The sequence below is a fragment of the Homo sapiens genome, chromosome 4 (genome assembly GCF_000001405.40).
Source record: "Homo sapiens chromosome 4, GRCh38.p14 Primary Assembly".
In the NCBI taxonomy this organism is placed as follows: domain Eukaryota; kingdom Metazoa; phylum Chordata; class Mammalia; order Primates; family Hominidae; genus Homo; species Homo sapiens.
In genome coordinates this window covers 87004160-87017338 of record NC_000004.12, presented here as the reverse complement: position 1 = coordinate 87017338, position 13179 = coordinate 87004160, and the positions used below count along the sequence as shown (strand labels likewise).

Below are 13179 nucleotides of genomic sequence, written 5' to 3'. Positions count from 1 at the left end.
CTAATAATCAAATGCAAAATTGATCAGATCTCAGAACCACTACTTTCATAGCCCAAATAACTATGAAGATAGCAAACAATTTGCAAGAAATTGACTAAATTAGATCAGTTCAAAGTTAGGCTAGGCATATAGTTTGAAAAACTGTTTGGCATTTTCTCAAAAAGTCAAACAAAAAACTATCATAGGACCCAGAAATTCCACCTTCAGCTATCCAACCAAAAAAAAAAAAAAAAAAAACACATATATATACACATACACACACACACATATATATATGTCCAAAGTCTTGTATGTAAATGTTCACAGCAACATTATTCACAATTTTTTAAAAAATTGGGACAACCTGTCCATCACATCTATTAACAGAATACTATTCAGTAATAAAAGGATAGAACCACTGATACATGGTACACCACAGATGAACCTCAAAAAATTATTCAAGTATGGCCAGAATGTGCTGAGGCTGGTAAATTTAAAATATATATACATATGCAAGTAAAGAGAGTCAGATGCAAGAAACCATCATACTCCATTTATGATTCCACTATGTGAAATGCCCAGAAAAGGCATATTTACAGAGACAGAAAGTAGGTTATGGTGGTGGGGCTGGGGACCGGGATTAACTGTAAATGGGCAGGAGGGATCTTACCAGGTATGGGATAAAATGTTCTAAAACTGGTCGCTCCATTCAGTAAAGTAACTAAACATTACTGAGTTGTCACTTGACATGAGTGAATTTTATGATATATAAAATAGACTTCAATAAAATCACTTTTTTTTTTTTTTTGAGACAGAGTCTGACTCTGTCACCCAGGCTGGAGTGCAGTGGCGCAATCTCCGCTCACTGCAAGCTCCGCCCTCCCAGGTTTATGCCATTCTCCTGCCTCAGTCTCCCGAGTAGCTGGGACTACAGGCGCCCGCCACCACGTCTGGCTAATTTTTTTGTATTTTCAGTAGAGACGGGGTTTCACTGTGTTAGTCAGGATGGTCTTGATCTCCTGACCTCGAATAAAATCACTTTTACAAAAACTTGGGCTGGGAAGAAATACCCATAAAATGAGATATAACAAAAGATATAAAAGATCTGGGTGACAAGGAACGTACCTCGATTCAATTTAACTATTCCCCTCTTCCCTCTTTCCCCACAAAAGGTCATTTACACCAAGCTACCAAAAGATCGCCCAGGCTGGAGTGCAACGGCATGATCTTGGCTAACTGCAACCTCCACCTCCCGAGTTCAAGCAATTCTCCTGCCTCAGCCTCCCGAGTAGCTGGGATTACAGGCACCTGCCACTACGCCCAGCTAATGTTTGTATTTTTAGTAGAGACGAGGTTTCACCATGTTGACCAGGCTGCTCTCAAACTCCTGACCTCAGGTGATCCGCCTGCCTGGGCCTCCCAGAGTGCTGGGATTACAGGCATGAGCGACCACGCCCGACTTCTTCATTCTTTAAAACACTCTAAGATCATGGATAATACCAATACTTTAAGGATGTCAACACAGAATACGAGTGACCTCAGAGAGAAAACGAAGTTTTATGCTAGGCTTATCATAAACTGTCAAGAATTTTTATAAAGCCTACAAATTTAAACTCAGAATTAAGTAAACCTAATGATTTTTACTTTACCCTTAAAGAAACATGACTGCTAAAATAAGAAAGAAATGAAGGTGTTTTTAAGAGGAGGCCCCTCCCTGCCCTAAGGGTAAGAACAAATAAAAAACTCACACCATCAGCAGTGACAGAATTATCAAATTCAATCTAACTGCCAACCTAGGACTTTTCATCTTCTGGGCATAGTTCCCATTTAAAAACAAAAACTAAGTTCCAGTGGCACTTTGAATTTTACTAAAACCAAGTCACAAGATAAGCAGACAATCTGAACAACATTAATAATTCTTTCCAATATTTTTAGGTTGCAAAACCTCAATTATGTATTAAGGTAATACACTAGGTTTCATTTTATCCTTTTGCTATTCTAATGCCAGTAAATGTTACTGCCTAATTTTTCCCCTGTGGTACAAAGTTTATTTTTTACACACTTTTTTAAATGGAGAGTTAGCACCGTCTTAACTCTAAAAGGAGGCTGGAGGGGAGAGGGAGACACAGACTGTAAATGAGTAACAGGAAAACATTCCTATAGCTGTAATTGCTAGGTCAAAATTACCTGAAAAAATATAAAAGGACAGAGCTTTAGCTTACTTTATACCAATGACTATCCTTTCAGCAAATAAACAACAACTAAAACCCAGCAATATTAACTCAATAACACGTTCTGTTTTCCTTTAAGGAAAAATTTTCTTAAACCATAATATCATGGACTCAAACTTTTATCAAAGCTCAAAGCTACCAACTTACTAAATAGGCCATCTTAGAAATGTCTAAGGTAGACAGTTTGTCAATTGAGACAAAATTTCTGCAAAGCTAGGGAGGAAACAGGTTTCATAGTTTTGTACAAAACAATGAGAACTAATTAATTTTATACCACTTTCCATAAATTCAAGTCCAGAGTAAATCAGATACACCTGTATTTTTAAAGTAACCAGAATGGGAGAAGTGGGGGAGAAGCAATTTAACAAGTTATCCAGACTTACATTATCCAGGATGAAAGTCACGTGATAATCTTGGGTCTGTCTTGACCACAAAAACATATGCACCAAATCAAAATTTAATTACACTGTATAACATAGTTTAAGTTGTGCTTCATATTTTATTGACTGCTTTGCTTCTGACAGGACAGTTTCCTGAAGGAAAGTTCCAAAAATTGAAAAGTTACAACACCCACATACCAAAGACTGTTTCCTGAATTTTGTTACAGGAAGTGACATCTGCTATAATTTTAACATTTACTTCCCAGTAGGAGTTCCATTTAAAATGTCTTGTTGAACATTATTTGTTCAGCAGTACCCCTAGGCAAAGCTTTTCTTAAAAAACAAAACTTTCATTTCGGTTTCACAAAGTTTGGACAAAACTGACCAATTCACACCATTTTAACTTTTCCCTGGGAACAAAAACAACTGCCACCTGGTAAACTGGGCTGTGTGTGGTAGAGAGAGAGATACTTAGCAGTTAACTCTAACTGGGGAGGGAGCCCACAACGCATGGAAAAAAGTAAATTAAATACCCTGCTCCTTGAGAAGAAACAATTCTTGGGAAGGTGCTGTATGATCAAACACTGGGAATTGCTTCTTGGTATCTTTTAATTTTTTTTTTAACACAGACGCATTTGGATATTTCAACCAACAGTTTGTAATATAAGGATAAATTTTATGGACGTAGATATCCACCTTCTCTACCAACCTCCAGTCTGTTTCAATAGGAGGGGAAAAATGTGTATTTATAAGCATATATGATATCAAAATTTAATAGCATCATACAACATGGTTTATATGATCTCTCTCACTCACACATGCACCATCTCACAAAGCATGGTACCTGCGCCCCTGGCCTTACAGACAGCAGAGCTCCACCCAGAACCTGTCCATTCAGAATCTCTGGGGGAGGGGGAGCAGAATCTGCATACTAACAAGCACCCACGGTGATTTTTGTGTCTAATCAAGTTTGAGAACCCTGAACCTCATATGACCATATTGCCCCTAAAATAGCCTTTTACTTTTTATTTGTTTAGTTGCCAATCCAGCAGTAAGCAATACTTAAAAAAAAAAAAAAAAAAGGTAAGATCTTCATCACAGCCTTAACTCTTCCCCAGCCCACCAAAATAAAGGATCATGTGGCCTGCAGGTCTCCAAGCCCTCACCCATATGAGCCACCACGGAGGAAAAACAATTCTTGGTACTTTTTAGAATGCAGTCAAACAGTGAGTGCCCTTTGAAAACATACCGAAATAAAGACAATCTAGGTGTCAATAAAAATATTTTACCCTTTGTCTGCTTGAGTTCCTTTAGATAAGATGTTTACCCCTGGGATTTTCTCTTAATATATTAAATCTGTCACCAAATTACTGCTCCCAGCAATAGCCTTAAGAACTTGATAGCAGTTCAGCCGGACAGGGTGGCTCACGCCTGTAATCCCAGCACTTTGGGAGGCCGAGGCGGGAGGATCACCTGAGGTCTGGAGTTCGAGACCATCCTGACCAACATGGAGAAACCCCATCTCTACTAAAAATACAAAATTAGCCGGGCTTGGTGGAGCATGCCTGTATTCCCAGCTACTCCGGAGGCTGAGGCAGAATGGCTTGAACCCAGGAGGCAGAGGTTGCTGTGAGCCGAGATCGCACCATTGCACTCCAGCCTGGGCAACAAGAGCGAAACTCCGTCTCCCAAAAAAAAAAAAAAAAAAAAAAAAAAGAACTTGATAGCAGTTCAATCTGGTTAAATTAAAAACAAAGCCAATAAACTAACACAAGAAAACAGACATTCAGCAGAGAACAAGACTTTCAAGATGCCAGGTCTGTTGGCTCTGTGGCCATCAGGTTAAGCTTTAACTCACTGTGAACAGATAAGAAAAGGAAAAAGTTTGCACAGGGGAGGGATTCTCAACACTGATCACTGCCAAGACACAGAAAGTCAGCAATTTGCATGGTTTTAAAGTTAATCTTTACTTTTAGTTCCCTGGGGCATTAGCACCAAAAGTTATACATATTTTCTCCTGAAGTGTAAATCTAAAGTTCATCTGATACATTTGTACTTGAGCAAGACACTGTGCATTCTACCTGCTGTGTTATTTTGAGCAAATGAGCAAATGAACACTTTATATTCATAATAAAATGAATTGAGGACCATCTGAAGGAGACAGAAAATACTACTTCAGCTCCCCCAGTTTTTACATTTAAGTAAAAACGATTGGTAATCATTTAACCCGTAAAAGTTATGTACTCACTCTATATCAATAAAACGTAACTGAACCAACCACAACAAAGAGATTATACTTAGCCTCACTATATGTTTCTATTTCTGAGCCAAGAAGCATGTCTCCAAGAAACTTTGTCCTAGAGGTGCATATTGTATTTCCACTATATCTCACATACAGAATTAGAATAAGTTTATTTGCCTATCTTGGAAAAGAAACCTGATGTCAGGAGTTCGAGACCAGCCTGGCCAAGATGTTGAAAACCCCATCTCTACTAAAATATGTATAGTTATACAAAAAAAAAAAAAAACAAGAAATGAAATGGAGAAGTTTGCTAACAGAAAACTAAGTTTATATATACCTCAAAGCAACAGTTAACAAACCAGCTTTATAACTCCTCTCTCTTACAGGTATTATGTAAAAAATAGATTTGGAGGCTCACAAGAAATAAATGACAGAACCAAGATGAAAAAGTAGATTTCTCTCTCATCCATAATATTTTATTCCTGAATGTAATTGAAATTTAAAATTTTTAGATGCAGCACGCACAAAAACCCCATTTTCAAGAGTGTAAATCCAGCTATGGAATATCTTTTCACGGTATGGTATAAAATCCAGCAAAATCTCGAGAGATCACTTGAGTTAGTTTTGCCAAAACAACAACATCCCCATAAATCAGCTGACTTTAAAAAATGACTCACCGCTCCTTCAGTCTTTATCATGGAAGCAGCTCTAGACTGTGAGTCAGGAAGCTCAACTGGGCTCTCAGGATGAACTAGAAAGAAATCACTTAAGAGACCTGTTTGTGTTTCTCTTCTGTCAAGGACACTGTTTACAATGGTGTCACAAGAAGGAAAAAGTGAGAATATTCAATGGATCAAAATACTACATAAATTATTTCCATCCCAAAATCTCTTCTTTGAACTGTACTTTCCAAAACCACAGTATTCTCTTTGATAATGGCTCATTTTTAATCAAAGCTGCTTTGCATTCATGAATTTTCTTCCAAGGTAATCACTAGCTCAAAAATCAGAGACGGGGCATAGGGCAGGGCAAAACTGGATCTATACCAGTTTAAGAGCATTGCTTTTTGCAATGGAAAACTTTCCCTCCCTAGAGTCAAAGAGATCCACCAAAAACCAGCTTCATATAAATCTTGGGCACAATCTGACTTTGCTTCTTTATTGATTTTTCAAAGCTTCATTAATTTTAGACAAATTCAAAAGTTAAAAACTGTGGGAGAGTTGACTGAACATACTTTCCTACTGCAGTTTGTCTATAAATCCTTTCTTTTGAGAAGCTCCGTGCTCAGCCACCAGATTCAACTCTCCCAAAGAAGCAAGTTCAACTCCCCTACTCCCATGCATACACCCCTGCCCCAGGGTGGAGAAGGGCCAGGGGTTCTCAGGTGGCATCAGGTGATTTTTTTTTTCTTTTTTTTTTTTTTTTTTTGAGACGGAGTCTCACTCTGTCACCCAGGCTGGAGTGCAGTGGTGCGATCTCAGCTCACTGCAAGCTCCACCTCCCAGGTTCACGCCATTCTCCTGCCTCCGCCTCCCGCGTAGCTGGGACTACAGGCGCCCGCCACCGCACCCGGCTGATTTTTTTTTGTATTTTTAGTAGAGATGGGGTTTCACAGTGGTCTGGATCTCCTAACCTCGTGATCCGCCTGCCTCGGCCTCCCAAAAGTGCTGGGATTACAGGCGTGAGCCACCACACCCGGCCCAGGTGATTTTTTTAAACTGGCTAATCCCTGATAGTATTTGAAGGTATGTATATTTTCCTTTCTAGAATTCAGGGATCTGCTTCAATGAGAGGGTTAGCGGAGGTGGGAATCAGGCAAAGTCCTCCTTTTTACTGTATCCATCAACACCACTCCTCAGTATAAAGCACTGTTAATTCTTGCAGGAAAAAAATATGTCTATAAACTGTTAGGTTTACTAGTTGCTAGTTTTTATACTTCTATAAAATAGTCTGGATGCACTTTCCATCAGAGTCCAGTAACTAAAGCCATGTTCTGTAACTATTTCACATCAAAGAAAGCAAGTTTGTTGCAATTTCCACAAGGAAGTATATATTCAATGTGTCTGTTATGTTTATAGGTTCCAAAGAAAGCACACACTTATCTGAGAGCCCAGACACAGCATACAATCCGCTTTGACAAGACATTTCTCAGTGACCACCTTTCTCAACTCTAGGAATACAATAAACCAAATACTTATTGTTTTCAAAATATGACCCCCAAAAATCTAAATTTTAAAAGCATTTAATTGCATTTTAGTCAAGAAATGTCTTCCAGCTTTAAGAGAAGAAATCAGCCACAAAACAAATTTCCTACTCTTAGGTTTTAACACAGCCTTAATTTATAAAAGTCCACAAGCCAAGAAATACTTAGGTAATCTCTCAATTCAAAGTACTTCTAGCTTATGTAGGGGAGACTAAAATGTGGGAGACAGTATCTTGTCTTAAGGAGTGAACTACAGGGATGGGAATACACCGCCTAATCCATTTGCATAAAAAATTAGTCATATATCACCCATCAATAACAAATCAGGAATCAAACTAAACAATGAACAAAGAAACTGGTGTGCTTAAACACTGAGCTACAAATCTGTAAGTACAATGAGTCTGTCGGTCTAAATTAATTGTCTCAAGAGCAAACAAACACTAATGTGTAGTAGTACATGGTCAAGATTTCACTACCTGAGATTTTACATCACAGGTGATGTTTTGGTTTCTCTTAGCATTACTCAGGGCAACGTGGCCCAGCTTTAGAGTTTCCCTGAAATCCCAAAATATCTTGAATCTTCTCCATATATTCTCTTTGGATCTCAAAGATTACCTTCTCTCCCACAGAGCACAATTATCTGAATGAGCTTGGACCACATTCCAGGTGTAACCAAAGAAAATGCACATTTACAAAATGTGAGATATACTCCCAACACACAGACTAAGAAAACAACAGACATAACAGTCTTGTGGCTTTGTTCCTAGTTCCAGGGCATGTCGGAAGGTGGGGTAGAGGATCAGAAATAAGCACAATTCTCCTATTTTAATTGCTGGCAAGTTGAACCACCACACTGATAACTCAGGATTATTACATATTACAAACAACCAATTTTAGCAGGAATCATTCTTTGTACTGTTATACTGAGGCTTGGCAGCTCCCTTTAACATCTCACCTCAGCATTAAAGAGGAAGCATAAGGGAGGAAGTGTGCAAAGCAGATCTGGAGTCAGGCGTTGCTCCACCTTTGTGACCTCAGGCAAGAAACAGCCAGGCTGGACCTCAGTTTCCTCAACTAACAAATGTGGATAATAAAAGTACTTACCCATTTAGGTGCCTGAGAAGAGTCAGAGCTAATCCAATTAAAGCTGCTTAATGCTGTGCCTGGCACACAGCAGTGTCCAATTTAGCTTGTGTCTCATTTTATTTTTATCATTAGTTTAAGAGCGCTGGCATTGAATCTCTCACACCTGGGTACAAATCCCTGCGCTATATTACTGAGATCTGTCACACAGCATTTACTAACTTCTTAGATCAAGGTATCTTAATCTTAATTTTCTGCCATGGACCTCTGTAGCAGTCTGACAATAACAGCACTATCAGAAAAATGTTTTTAAATACATTAAATAAAATACATAAGAATACAAAGGTACCAGATTATATAGACAAGCACCTATTAAAATATTTAAAAGAAATCAATGGTACAGTAGTGTTTTTCTTTACTACTGAATTAAGCAAGATAAAGCAGTTCCTTAATTTCCTGAGTGGAGAGCACAAAAGGTGTTTGAAGACATCTGCAACAATTGTATTAAGATTATGAAAAGACATATAGTTTCTATTGTGATAACATCACAAGGACTGGTACTATAGTTTTATCTCTAGTCCTACTTAAAAAAAAAAAAAACACTAAATTTCAGCTAGAGGTTAACAAAAATAGAGACACAACTTGTGTTTCTCATCCAAGTTCTACTACTTGGCCCCAGATTAAGAACCACTTTCTTAAAACTCAATAAAATGGAAGCAGAGGATAAACCACTGTGTTGAGAAGAAGAAATATAAAAAGCAGGTAGCACATAGGAGGTACTTTATACAGAGAAGCTCTTTCCTTCCTAGAAAGTTCTATTTCGTAGGAAAAAAACATTGTCTCATCCAGCCCAAACATGAACATTTAACATCCATTTCTCTCCATGATCTGAGTCTTCAGACGTGTTAAGTCTTCTGAGACCTCCCAAAATCACTGTTCTACATCAAATATCAGCTTGAAGAACCCTACTACTTTAAATATGTGAGACCAAACTGCTTTCTAGCAAAACACAGTTGAAAGAGAATGTATATATAACTCCTAAGTCTCCCTTAGCACCAACTGCTGTCAAAACTAAAATAAAATCGCACAGAACAGTTTGGATCTCATAATAATCACTAATGCCTTGTCATCACTCTTCTTCAACGCTCATTACAAAAACAGTAACAAACCATGGAAAGACGGGGCTTCAGGTTCTTACAATAGCGCTCCTCTGACAGCAACTGCAGTTCATTATCCTCTCTCCCCTTCACCACCCCGGCGCGTTCCCGGTCTTTGCCTACTCAGCAGATTCACGTAAGCGGGGCCGTTTTATGTGGAATCGTACATTCTAGCAGTAAAATTTTCACTCACCAGGCAAATTCTCACCCACCCTCTCCAAGGTGAACTATGTTTTACATTAATCGTATTTCTAAACTTCCCCTCGAGACAACAGCAAGAAATCCAGAAAACCGAGGGGTAGGCGCACAAAGAATCTAAATGGAAATTTGGGCAAGGGCGGACAAGTGAAATCAACTTAATGTCCCGGAAAATAACAGTTCTGGGGGAAGAAGGGGGCTATCTAACTTTAATCTTCACTTTAACTCCATCCCTCTCTCCGCTGTGCAGAAATTGTCCAGCATGTTCTCCAAACTGCTTTTTATCTGACATTTAGTCAAGCCACAGCCTCGGGAATGATGAGAAGGCAATGACAAAGCTGCTTCCTGTCCGTCTCCTTCCCCGCACCCTGCCCTCCCCCGCAACCTTCAGCTCCCCTCGCCACGAACGCGTTTGAAAAGTTTCTCCGGTGCACGGCTTACCTTGACTGGGCTGCCATAATTCAGCTTATAGAGCCAGGGGTCTTCCGTCCATGAGCGCCTTCACCCCGCGGGCCCTGCTGCCAGCGCCGCGCTCACCATTTGGCGGAGCCGGGCGGGGACGCGTCCCGGCGCGGCGCCCCGATGTTACGGGACTACCTGCTCTCGAGCCCCGGGCGTCCTCGGCGCAGCCCCGGGCTCGGCCCGTATTGGCTCGCGCTAATCCTGATGGACATCCGGGCACTGGGGCCTCTGCGGCGATCTGCACTTCAGACGAGCCCGGGGAGCGCCGCGTCCGAATCCGGGGCAAGCGAGCGCCCCCGGCGCAGTTTCTGAGAAGGGAAAGCCAGCGGGCCCCCACGCTCGAAGACCGCCGGCGCCCAACGCCTGCCCAGCAACAGCACAACGCGGGCCACAGTTAGAAAGGAAAAGAAATTGCCTCTGGGCTCACTTGAAGTTGTCCGAGTCCGCCGGGATACCCCCTGTCAAGAAAGTTGCGGTGGTACGGCCCGCCTACTTAAATGGGCAGGGCGCTCGGCGGCCCTAGCCAAAGGCAGGCGGCAAGCGGCAGGCAGGGTCGGGTAGGGGGCAGAGCCTGGGCGCCGACAAGCCCTGCTGGTCCCCGGCCGAGCCCCGCCTGCGGGCTCCTCGAGAGTGCTCTCTTGCCAGGTTCTAACTACGTACAGACACCCACCGCTGGAATACACAGTACCCAGCCGCTCAGAACTCCAGCTCCAATTTGAATATTTGTTGAATATGGGGCCCCCAGAGGCGGCAGTGAGCAGGAACAAGACCGCGGCAGTAAACCACGTTCGCTACTTTTGATCCTTCCAGTGCTTGAGCTCAAGAAACGGGCATACTTGGTGTTACTCCGCTTTCAGTTTTGATTTCCTTACATAGAGACAAATATTTACAAAACAGCCCGCCTTTTTTGGACTACACGTAGATTACAGGAAAAATAGTACCTCATTTTGGTCTTAAGCAATGAAGGGATTGACAAGAAGCAAACAAAAAACTTGAGCATGCAATATAGTAAGTCCTATACGAAGCACAAACGAAATCACTTCCTACTCAGAGGACCATGGAAAGCGTTTAAGCCGTGCCTCAAAAGCAGGAAAATACTTGGATGAGCAAGGATGGAGGGAGGTTGTGCTTCAGCATCTCATAGGGACCAGCACACCGGAGGAGCTGAAGACTCTTAGATGAATACTGAATAACTGCCTGCACTGTGGACTCTCCGTTCTTCTACCTAGAATCATGACAACATTGCCCGTCTCATAAAGAGATAGTCCAGATTGTATTACTAAATCGTCGTGAAATACAAACATGTTAATGCCTGGCACTAAAACGACAATGCTGGGAGGGAGGCCCAAGGCACCTCTATCAAGGGTTCTCAAAGTGTGTTTACTAGATTCCTGGGAGTCCCCAAGACCCTCTCAGAGGTCAGAACTATTTTTAGAATAACACAAAGACATTGTCTTTTCACTGTGCTGACATTTGCACTGATGGTGCAAAAGCAATTATGGGGAAACTGCTGGCGCCTTCGCACTAACCAAAGCAGTGACAGCAAATGAAACTAGTAGTCACTGCATTCTTCACTACCACACGTTATTTTTTTTTAAGCGTTTCCTTTATGATTGTCGTTAATGAAGCAAGCAGTCAGAATTATTACGTTCATTAAATCTTGACCCTTGAGCATGGGTCTTTTTGATGTTCTTTGTGATAAAATGGGAAGTACCCAGGAAGCAGTCCACTGCACACTTAAGTACAATGGCTGTCTAGAAGAAAAGCACTTGTGTAATTGAGTTGCAAGCTGAGCTAGCTTTTTTTTCATGGACTACCATTTTTACTTGAAAGAACAATTCACAAACTGTAGTTATTCTGACTTGGGTATCTGGCAGACATTAAAAATGAACAAAGTTGAGCCTGTTTCTTTGAGGAAAACAATTGACAGTACTTATTGCCAATGATGAAATTTGAGCTTTCAAGCATTTTGGAAGACTTTTTGCATCTGCCACATAATCTTGCCAGCTTCGCCAATACTTAAAGACTTTCCTGATGAGATCAGAGTGACAGTGATGAAAGTTATATGAGAAGATCTGCCTTAGTTTTGAAATGACCAATGGTATAACAGAATCATACATGGGTAGGCCAGGTGCAGTGGCTCACGCCTGTAATCCCAGCACTTTGGGAGGCTAAGGCAGGCAGATCGCTTAAGCTCAGGAGTTTGATACCAGAGCCTGGACAACATGGTGAGACCCCATTTCTACCAAAAACACAAAAAATTAGCTGAGCATAGTGGCACGCATCTCTGATCCCAGATACTTGGGAGGTGGAAGTTGCAGTGAGCTGAGATTGTGCCACTGCACCCCAGCCTGGGTGACAGAGTAAGACTCTCTCTCAAACAAAAACCAAAATCATGCATGGATGAAAGATCCACTGAAAAAAAGTGCAAAACAGACCAACTGATTTTAATGTATCAAAGGTTTAGTTTTTTTAAAAAGCTCATTTCAGATTCCACAATGCAATTAACCTTTAAGAAACTAACACTTACAGAGTTTTGGTATAATATCAAAGAAGGTATTAAAAATACTCATCCTCTTTCTGTGTGAAGTTGGATTTTCTTTATAGACTTCAACCAAAACAACATTGCAACAAATTGAATAGAGAATCAGATTCAATCTGTTTGGGTTGGGCATCCCAAATCTGAAAATCTGAAATCCAAAATGCTCCAAAATCCAAAACTTTTTGAGTACTGACATGACGCTCAAAGGAAATGCTCACTGGAACAAGAATATATAATGCAAATATTCCAAAATCAGAAAAAATCTGAAATCCAAAACAATTCTGGTCCCAAGCATTTTGGATAACCTGTATGAGAATCTAGCTGTCTTCTATTAAGCCAGACAGTAAAGAGATTTGCATGAATGTAAAATAATGCCATTCTTTCTCAATAATTTTTTTAATTTTGGAAAATTGGTTTTATAAAAGTTTTATTTAGGTCAATATGTAATGGGTTTTAAAAATAAATATTTTAAATACCTCAATTTTAATTTTTAATGTAGTAAATAATATCTAAAATGTACATATACAAAAGCTCTTTGGGTTTCACAGTAATTGAGGTGCAAACTTATTCTATATCATTTGCTAAATACTTCCATGTCTCCCTCACCTCTCCACACTCATCGAGCCTTCTTTTAATTAAAGGTGTTATATATTACAGCTATTCCATGTAACCTCTTAGCACCTAGATTCAGTTTTAGCAAAA

General features: G+C 40.4%; 1 protein-coding gene across 13 annotated transcripts in view, besides 7 other annotated features; it reads right to left on the bottom strand.

The window, feature by feature from the left end:
• The window catches only part of AFF1 (ALF transcription elongation factor 1), a 206029-nt gene that overhangs the window by 123701 nt on the left and 69149 nt on the right, over positions 1–13179 (bottom strand). For 4 of the 13 annotated variants that reach the window (NM_001313959.2, NM_005935.4, XM_047415704.1 and 1 more), the window contains exon 1: positions 9915–10068. The exons of the other annotated variants lie outside the window; for them this stretch is intronic. In NM_001313959.2, coding sequence (NP_001300888.1) covers positions 9915–9931 — 17 coding nt within the window. In that variant the 5' untranslated portion in view covers positions 9932–10068. Of the gene's footprint in view, positions 1–9914; positions 10069–13179 lie in introns of those variants that run through there. 13 annotated transcript variants of the gene reach the window in all.
• Positions 3735–4234: an enhancer, noted in NCBI's record as "H3K27ac hESC enhancer chr4:87934257-87934756 (GRCh37/hg19 assembly coordinates)". NCBI's record gives its function as "activates a minimal SCP1, AML or CMV promoter by ChIP-STARR-seq in primed H9 embryonic stem cells {active_cell/tissue: H9 hESC(primed)}" and the evidence as "EXISTENCE:reporter gene assay evidence [ECO:0000049][PMID:30033119]".
• Positions 8051–8100: a silencer, noted in NCBI's record as "silent region_15553". NCBI's record gives its function as "represses an Ori minimal core promoter by ATAC-STARR-seq in GM12878 lymphoblastoid cells {active_cell/tissue: GM12878}" and the evidence as "EXISTENCE:reporter gene assay evidence [ECO:0000049][PMID:35858748]".
• Positions 9248–9542: a silencer, noted in NCBI's record as "tiled region #119; K562 Repressive DNase unmatched - State 1:Tss". NCBI's record gives its function as "represses a minimal TATA promoter and a strong SV40 promoter by Sharpr-MPRA in K562 cells {active_cell/tissue: K562}" and the evidence as "EXISTENCE:reporter gene assay evidence [ECO:0000049][PMID:27701403]".
• Positions 10204–10283: an enhancer, noted in NCBI's record as "active region_21700". NCBI's record gives its function as "activates an Ori minimal core promoter by ATAC-STARR-seq in GM12878 lymphoblastoid cells {active_cell/tissue: GM12878}" and the evidence as "EXISTENCE:reporter gene assay evidence [ECO:0000049][PMID:35858748]".
• Positions 10414–10523: a silencer, noted in NCBI's record as "silent region_15552". NCBI's record gives its function as "represses an Ori minimal core promoter by ATAC-STARR-seq in GM12878 lymphoblastoid cells {active_cell/tissue: GM12878}" and the evidence as "EXISTENCE:reporter gene assay evidence [ECO:0000049][PMID:35858748]".
• Positions 10754–10903: an enhancer, noted in NCBI's record as "active region_21699". NCBI's record gives its function as "activates an Ori minimal core promoter by ATAC-STARR-seq in GM12878 lymphoblastoid cells {active_cell/tissue: GM12878}" and the evidence as "EXISTENCE:reporter gene assay evidence [ECO:0000049][PMID:35858748]".
• Positions 11274–11323: an enhancer, noted in NCBI's record as "active region_21698". NCBI's record gives its function as "activates an Ori minimal core promoter by ATAC-STARR-seq in GM12878 lymphoblastoid cells {active_cell/tissue: GM12878}" and the evidence as "EXISTENCE:reporter gene assay evidence [ECO:0000049][PMID:35858748]".